This window comes from Homo sapiens, chromosome 12 (genome assembly GCF_000001405.40).
Source record: "Homo sapiens chromosome 12, GRCh38.p14 Primary Assembly".
NCBI classification, from domain to species: Eukaryota; Metazoa; Chordata; class Mammalia; order Primates; family Hominidae; genus Homo; species Homo sapiens.
In genome coordinates, this window is record NC_000012.12 from 113,042,243 (window position 1) to 113,051,395 (window position 9,153).

General features: G+C 47.0%; 2 annotated features.

Annotated features, from left to right (window-relative positions):
• Positions 6,567 to 6,686: a silencer, noted in NCBI's record as "silent region_4888". NCBI's record gives its function as "represses an Ori minimal core promoter by ATAC-STARR-seq in GM12878 lymphoblastoid cells {active_cell/tissue: GM12878}" and the evidence as "EXISTENCE:reporter gene assay evidence [ECO:0000049][PMID:35858748]".
• Positions 7,755 to 7,924: an enhancer, noted in NCBI's record as "active region_7058". NCBI's record gives its function as "activates an Ori minimal core promoter by ATAC-STARR-seq in GM12878 lymphoblastoid cells {active_cell/tissue: GM12878}" and the evidence as "EXISTENCE:reporter gene assay evidence [ECO:0000049][PMID:35858748]".

The window sequence follows — 9,153 nt, forward strand, 5'->3', positions numbered from 1 at the left end:
GAGCAAAGGAGCAATGAAGAGGCTCAGAAGGTCTCAGCCAGTCCTCAGCCAGGTAGCCGTGATAGGCTGAATAAGGGCCCCCAAAGATGCGCACATCCTCATCCCCACACCTACACATACGGCAAAGGGGCCTTGCAGATGTGACTAAGGGTCTTGAGATGAGAGATGATCCTGGATGATCCAAGTAAGCCCAGTGTCATCACAAGGGTCTTTATAAGAGGGAGGGTCCTTCTAAGAGGAAGCAGAAGATCAGAGTGAAGAAAAAAGTGACAGCGGAAGCAGGGAAAGGGACTGGAGGGTGCTGCTGGCTGTGAAGATGAAGGTGGGGCCCTGCGCCAAGGAATAAGGGAACTGGAGCAGCCTCTAGGAGCTGGAAGAAGGCAAGGAAAAGGATTCCCCCCGAACCCTCCAGAATGAACCCAGCACCTTGACTTTAGGGCTTCTGGCCTCCGGAAATGTGGGGTAACACACCTGTGCTGTTCTAAGCTGCAAGGTTTGGTCATGTGTTCCATCGGCAAGACGAGACTCATGTGGTGACCTTGGGCAAGGCCTTTTGACTTTCTCACCTCCATTGCCTGGCTATAAAATGAGGAGAGTTGGCCATGCGCGGTGGCTCAAACCTGTAATCCCAGCACTTTGGGAGGCCATGGCGGGTGGATCACTTAAGACCAGGAGTTCAAAACCAGCCTGGCCAACATGGTGAAACCCCATCTCTACTAAAAATACAAAATTAGCCAGGCGTGGTGGCATGTGCCTGTAACGCCAGTTACTCAGGAGGCTGAAGCAGGAGAATCGCTTGAACTCAGGAGGCAGAGATTGCAGTGAGCCAAAACTGCGCCACTGCACTCCAGCCTGGGTGACAGAGCAAGACTCTATCTCAAAAAAAAAAAGAAAAAAGAAGAAAAAAATGAGGAGAGTGGTCCCTGCCTCCCTTGCCTGTGGGGAGACTTAAACAAGTTAATAAATATGTAAAGGTTTGGAAAGTGTGCTATAAAAGAGAATTGAATTTTTAAGTCCATTTCCGCATATCCTTGACCTCTTTCTGGGTGTTAGCTTTGGGACGAAGAGCCCTCCCTGCTTCCTCTCTTCCCCCACCCGCGCCATGCTGGGAAATCTACTGGTGTGTCCTCTGTGGTGTCCCCCTGCAGACTTAGCTTCTAGGTGGACGACAGATGGCTGGCCAGGTGTCAGCCACTTGGCTGGAGGCCAGGCTGGGAGGCCGTGAGACAGGATCAGATTGTCACAACCCAGAGGACAGCAGCTGGTGACGGCCACTTCCTCCACTGCCACTGGGTCACCCCACCTACCTAATAAGGTGAAGTCCCCCAGATAGCCTGTTCATCTTCAAGGGCGCTGGGCAAACCAACCATTAGCCTGACACTAAGAAGACCCAAGTCAACCCTCCACGAGTGCCTTCCTCTATGGGACCTTCATCTCTACTAAGGTTCAGGCGTCCATTTGCTCCCTCCCCAAATATTTAAACAGCATTAATTATGCACCAACACTGTTGGTTGCCTACCTAGCAGTCATTCCTCCTTTTTACCTTGCCCCCCAAATTCCACCCAGTCCCAGGGGATGTCTTGCTTGGTCTAAGCCAATCCTGGCATCCTGTGCCTCCTTGCCAGTGCACGGTCAGGAGGGACATGTGACCCAGTCTGGCCAATTAAACATAAAGAGAATTCTGCTAAGAGATTCTAGGAAGACTGTCTTTCTATTAAGAGAGAGATGCAGCCAGGCTTATACCTGTAATCCCAACGCTTTGGGAGGTCAAGGCAGGAGGATTGCTTGAGGCCAGAAGTTCCAGACCAGCCTGAGCAATATAGCCACACCCCATCTCTACAAACAAACAAAAAAATTAATTAGCTGGATGTGACGGTGCATGCCTGTAGGTCCCAGCTACTTGGGAGGCTGAGACAGGAGGATCGCTTGAACCTAGGAACTGGAGGCTGCAGTGAGCTATAATGATGCCACTGTACTCCAGCATGGACAACAGAATGAGGCCCTGTCTCTAAAGAGAAAGAGAGAGAGAGAGAGAGAGAGAGAGATGGGTCAGGAAACGAAAAGACCTTTTCAATCTTCCTTCTTCCCTTTTGCTCTGGATGCTGCTGTTTGAGGTTGTGATTTCTGGAGCTTCAGCAGCCATCTTGTGACCTTGAGATGACAATGCTAATTCTGAAATATCAACATGTCAGGGATGGAAAGCAGAAGAACTTTGATGGCTGGGATGGTTAGTTTTAAAAGTCAACTCGGATAGGCTGTAGGGCCCAGATGTTTGGTAATCATCAGTCTAGACGTTGGTGTAAAGGTATTTTTAGATATGAAACAGTAGAGTTTGAGTACAGCGATTATCCTCCATAGCATGGGTGGGTTCAGCCAATGAGTTAAAGCCTTAGGAGAAAAAGACCAAGGTCCCCGCAGGGAGAAGAAATTATCTCTCCAGACTGCTTATGACTCAAGCTGAAGCATCAGCTCTTCCCTGGGTCTCCAGCCTGTCCTGCAGATTTGGACTTGCCAGCCTCTGAAATCATGTAATTCAATTCCTAGAGAGGAGGGAGGGAGAGAGGGAGGGAGAAAGGAAGGAAGGAAGAAAGGGAGGGAAGAGAAGGGAATGGAAGGGAAGGGAAGGGAAGGGAAGGGAAGGGAAGGGAAGGGAGGGAGTGTGGGAAAAAGAAAAGAAGGAAAGAAGGAGGGAAGGAGGGAGGGAGGAAGGAAGGAAAGGAAGGGAAGGGAGGGAGTGTGGGAAAAAGAAAGGAAAGAAGGAGGGAAGGAGGGAGGGAGGAAGGAAGGGAAGGGAAGGGAGGGAGGGAAGGATGGAGGGGGGAAAAGGAAGGAGGAGGGGGAGTGGGGGAAGGAGGGAGGAAGGAAAGAAGGAAAGGGGAAAGAGGAAGAAAGGAAAGAATGGAGGAAGCAAGGGAGGGAGAAAGGAAAGAAGAAAGGAGGAAGAAGGAAGGAAGGAAGGAAGCTACAGAGAGAGAGAGATACACATTTTATTGGTTCTGATTCTCTGGAAAACCCTGACCCATATAATGGCTTTGGGATGGGATGGCGGGGGGATGCTCCTGACCTAAGGACTCCTCATGAAGAATAAGAGTGTCCTCATGGTCTAAGCCTCTCTAAGTTGGGTTTTCTGTTATTTGCAGCCCAAGCATCCTGGTTAGTGCACCTGCTCTATCATTTCTATTGCTGCTTGAAAAGCCACCCCAAAACTAAGTGACTAAAGGCAACAACCAGGTATTATCTCTCATAAATCTACAGGTCAGCCAAGCAGGTGTGCCAGTCTTAGCTGGGCTCACTTATGCCTCTGCCTCGACAGGCATGTTGGTTGAGATAGATGGTCTAGCACCATCTATGTGCTAGGCATGATCCTGGATTTTTTATTTATTTATTTTGCTATCAATAAAGGACACTATTGGGACAATTGGCAAAATACAAATAACAGCTATAGATTAGGTCATTGTATTTTGATTACCTGATTGTGATCATTGTACTGTGGTCAGGTAAAAGAATTTCCTTATATTAGGGAATACATATATTGAAGCACTAGGGGGTATAGTGGTATAGTGTATGCAGTTCATCCTCAAATGTTTCAGAAAATTTTATATATCCATGTATTGTGTTTGTGTGTGTGTGTGTGTGTGTGTGTGTGTATACAGAGAGAGAGAGAGAAAAGAAGCAGGAGGAGGAGGAAGAAGAAGAGGAGGAGGAAGAAGAGGAGGAGGAGAAGGGGGAGGAGGAGGAAGAGGAAGAAATCAAATATAAGGTTAACATTTGAGGAATCCAGGTGAAAGGTATAAAGAATTTATTGTACTCTTTGTAAGTTCTCTATAAGCTCCCAAATTAATTTAAAATAAAATTTTTAACAAAAAAAAAAAAAAAAAGGAAAGGAGCCAGGGTTCAAACTTGATTTGGGGCTTTCCGTAGGAGACCAGGGTTACACACTGACTCCTAGGGTCCCAGAGTTCATCTCAGGTCAATCTGAGGCTCTCTCAAACTCAACTAAAACATCCTCAACAAAAACAGCATGAGGATGAAGCCCTTTAGCCAGGAGAATTATGGCGGTGATGCTTTCACTGAAGCAAAGGTTGTCGCCCTCATTTTTACTTTGGGGGAATTTAGATTTTGGTAGGTAGGATTTTCTTTAGCCATCAGTGCCCATAGGAAGGCAGAATAGGATATTGGGTTAGAATCCTGGTTGTACCATTTAGTTGCCATATGACTTTGAACAAACAAATTGAGTTTTCCATGTCTCGGTTTCCTCATCTGTAAAATGAAGAACTTAATAGTAGACATCACATAGGGTTGTTATGGATTAAATCCATTAAAATGTCTGTAAGGAGCTGGGGACAGTGCCAGTCACAGGAGTAATGCTCTGTAATTGCTACTTGTCATCATCACCACCATCATCACCAAGATTAATAGGATTTCCATTAGGATTCTTGACTTTAGAGTCAAGAAATCCAACTTGGAGCCAGTGATGCATGCAGCACTTACTCATTGGTGACACTGAGTTAGTTACTTGTCCCATCAAACCACAGTGTCCTTATCTGTAAAATGGGAATGATACTAACCACTGGGCATGTGACATATTCAGCCTGGTGTTGGGCACACAGGAGGCCTCATTGGTGGCTGGGAGAAAAACTACCTGGAAAACCCACTCAGATGGCTACTATTATTTTAATAAAAGAAAAGAAAGAAAATAACAAGTGTTGGTGAGGATGTAGAAACATTGGAACCCTGTGTACTCTCGGTGGGCCTGTAAAATGCTCTGGGAACAGTATGACAGTTCCTCAAAAATTAAAAATAGAATTACTATATTGTATTCACTCTGGCTGCCATAAGAAAATATCAGGCCGGGTGTGGTGGCTCACACCTGTAATCCCGGCACTTTGGGGGGCCAAGGTGAGTGGATCACCTGAGGTGAGGAGTTCAAGACCAGCCTGGCCAACATGGCAAAACCCTATCTCTACTAAAAATACAAAAAATTAGCCGGGCGTGTTGGCGTGCACCCGTAGTCCCAGCTACCTGATAGGCTGAGGTAGGAGAATCGCTTGAACCCGGGGGGTGGAGGTTGCAGTGAACCAAGGTTGCACCACTTCACTCCAGCCTGGGAGACAAAGCAAGGCTGTCAAAAAATAAAGAAAGAAAGAGAGAGAGGGAGGGAGGGAGGGAGGGAGGAAGGAAGGAAGGAAGGAAGGAAGGAAGGAAGGAAGGAAGGAGAAAGAAGGACAGAGAGAGAAAGAAAGAAAGAAAGAAAGAAAGAAAGAAAGAAAGAAAGAAAGAAAGAAAGAAAAGAAAAGAAAAGAGAAAAGAAAATATCATAGACTGGTGGCTTAAACAACAGAAATTTACTTCCGACAGTTCTGGAGGCTGGAAGTTTGGGATCAGGGTGCCAGCATGGTCTGGTTCTTGTGAGACCCCCATCCCTGGCTTACAGGCTGCTGTCTTCTTGATACTCCCTCACACAGCCATTCCTCATTGCCTGTATGCACAGGGAAGGAGAAAGAGAGATCCCTGTCTCTCCTCTTCTTATAAGGCTACCCATTTTTATCAAGTTAGTACTCCATCCTTATGACCCCTTTTGATTTTTTTTTCTTTTGAAAAGGAGTCTCACTCTGTCACCCAGGCTGGAGTGCAGTGGCGCGATCTTGGCTCACTGCAACCTCTCTCTCCAGGGTTCAAGGGATTCTCTTGCCTCAGCCTCCGGAGAAGCTGGCACTACAGGAGCGTGCCACCACACCTGGCTAATTTTTGTATTTTTAGTAGAGACGAGGTTTCACCATGTTGGTCCAGCCTGGTCTCGAATCCTGACCTCAAGTGATCTATCCATCTCTGCCTCCCAAAGTGCTGAGATTACAGGCGTGAGCCACAGCGCCCAGCCCCTTATGATCTTAATTACCTCCTAAAAGCCCTATCTCCAAATACAGTCACATTGCAGGTGAGGGCTTCAACATATGAAAAGGGGAGCGGGGAGTTCAGTCTAGCACATATGATCCAGCAATCTCGCTTCTGGGGATACACCCAAAAGAAGTGACAACAAAGTCTGGAAGAGATATTTGTACACCCATACTCATAACAGCTCTATTCACAATGACCAACAGGTAGAAGCAACTCAAGGGTCCACTGACAGATGAACAGATAACAAATAGATAACAAAATGTGGTCTATACCTACAGTGGAATATGCTTCGCCCTAAATAGGAAGAGAATCCCGACACAGCTACAACATGGGGAAACCTTGAGGACATTACGCTCAGTGAAATAAGCCAGGCACAAAAAGGCAAACACTGCATGCTTCCACTTATAGGAGGTACTGGACTAGTCAAGTTCTTAGAGACAGAAAGTAGAACAGTGGGTGCTACAGCCTGGAGGGAGGGGAAAATGGGAAAATTCTTGTTTAAAGGGTACAGTTTCAGTTTTGCAAGATGAAAAAGTACAGAAATCGGTTGTAAGACAATGTGTATATGCTTAACACTTAGCTTAGATAGAATTGAGATGGTAAATTTTATGGTATGCATGTTTACTGCAACAAAAAAATTAAAAATAAATTATCTGGAAATGTCTCCAGCATTAGAACGAGGGACCAAAATAGACCACTAGGGGGCGTTCTATACACACGCTCCCATTTCATTTCCCGGCCCTGCCTGCTGGACTCAGGCGGTTGATTTGTACAGGGAGGAAAAGGTCTAGGGTTCCTCTCTCTTTTCTGCTCCCCCCACCCTTCCCCAAATGAACCAGCTCTGCATAAGCAACACACACACACACACACACACACACACACACACAAACACACCTCCCCCCAACTCCCTCTCTTAGTCCCCTAGCCACACTAAACTTCCACCACACCCCAGGCCACACTAACTCTAAACCCCGTTCTTTCTCTGGGTTCCTTCTCTCCACGTTGGAGACACAGCGAATTCCAGATTGAGTGTTCCCACTTCGCCTGGCTGCTCATAGGCCTTCTCGATGGCCCAGGAGCTGGGGAAGAGAGGACAGGAGGCAAGGACCCACCCACCCACACTATAAAGGAGAGAAACTGTGGTCCCCAAAGACAAAGGGACACCACAATGGAAATAGATCAGACACCTCATATCCCAGGTGCAAGAGCTCCGAGGTCAGCCAGACCTGGGGTTTTCAGGCTCAAATACTCACTGTGTATGCCACAACCTCTACTGCCTCAGTTTCCCCACCTGTAAAATCTGTAATAATGCCTGTCAGAGTTGTTGGGAGGATTAAAAGAGCATAATAAGGTGGCTCAGGGTTGTAATCCCAGCACTTTGGGATGCCGAGGTGGATCACTTAAGGTCAGGAGTTTGAGAACAGCCTGGCCAACATGGTGAAACCCTGTCTCTACTAAACATACAAAAATTAGCCAGGCATGGTGGCTCATGCCTGTAATCCCAGCTACTTGGGAGGCTGAGGCAAGAGAATCACTTGAACCTGGGTGGAGGAAGTTGCAGTGAGCTGAGATCATGCCACTGCACTCCAGTCTGAGTGACAGAGCGAGACCCTGTCTCAAAAGAAAAGAAGAGTGTAATAAAATCCCTGTACCTAGAAATCACTCCATGAATGGGCTAACTGCTATTCCATACCCCTTAGCCGATGCCGCCTGGGTCCCCTTCCATCTCCCAGGGGCTTCTGCTGTGCGAGCACCAACCCTCCAGTTTGCAGTTTCTCTTAAGAAATCTTTCTTGAAGAAACTCACACCATGATCTTCTGGCCACAGGGCCAGTGATTTCACCAGGTAGGACTCACTGGCTTACAAGTAATAGAAACCCCATTAAACCACCTCAAGGAAACTGGGGTGCCTCATGGAACCTAAGGAAAAGTTGAATAGCCAGTCGCTGGGAAGAACCCCTTGGGAAACGCAGGAAACATTCTCCCTCTCTTCTCCCCCGTGTCTCCATCTCTCTCCCTCCCTACGCCTGCTTCTCACATGGCTGCACTCACTTCCTCCAGCCCACTGACCTCCCTGCCATTCCTACAGCATGTCAAGCACCCTGCCACCTAGCGGCCTTCGTACCTGCTGTGCCCTCTACCCAGTACCCTCTTCCTCAGATCTCCCCTTATTCGCTACTCTCCTTCAAGTCATGGCTCAGATGTCACCTGGGTAGTACCTTCCCTGACAAGCTGATTAAAGTTGCAACCCCAGTCTGGACAACATGGCCAAACCCCGTCTCTACAAAATATACAAAAATTAGCCAGGTGTGGTGGTGCACACCTGTAGTCCTAGCTACTTGGGAGGCTGAGATGGAAGGGTCAATTGAGCAAGTGAGGTTGAGGCTGCAGTGAGTTGTGATTGTGCCTCTGCACTCCAGCCTGGGCAACAGAGCAAGACCCTGTCTCAAAAACAGAAAAAACGGCAATCATATCTCCACCCTGAGCACGATCTGGATGATCTAGCCCCTCCCTGCTTACTCGCTTATTTCTTTAATCTTGGTCCACAAAAAAGGGGGTTAATAATGCTCTCATCAGCTTTTAATTAACTGGTTAATTTTAAGAATGGCTGGGCACAGTGGCTCACACCTGTAATCCCGGCACTTTGGGAGGCCAAGGCAGGAGGATCACTTGAGCCCAGGAGTTCAAGACCAGCCTGGGCAACAAAGGGAGACCTTGTCTCTACAAAAATAAAATGAAATAATTAAGTATGGTGGTACATTTCCGTAGCCCCAGCTGAGGCAGGAGAATTGCTTGAGCCCAGGAACTGGAGGCTGCAGAGTGCTGTGATCGCACCACTGCACTGAAACCTGAGCGATCGAGCGAGACCCTGTCTCTTGAAAAAGAAGAAGAATGTAATAAACACCTGTGAAACCACTACCCAAACAAAAGCTAGGATCTTGACAGTGATTTACATCTTACCATATGGCCCCCCAACCTGTGGCGCCACGTTGCCCTCTTAATCCTCATCCTAAATCCTGTATTTATTCTTCCCTTGTTTCCCTTCATACAGTTTATTATCGCATATGTGTGCCCATAATTTTAGTTGCCGTTGACTTTATAAAAAGGGAATCATGTTTATGTAACAGGACATTTTTCATTGAATATTCTATTTCAAAGATCCATCCATATTACGGCGTGTGGCTGTATAGTTCCTTCGTATTGAGTGCTGCGTAATATTTCATCGTGGGAATTAAACCATAATTTATTCATTTGTTCT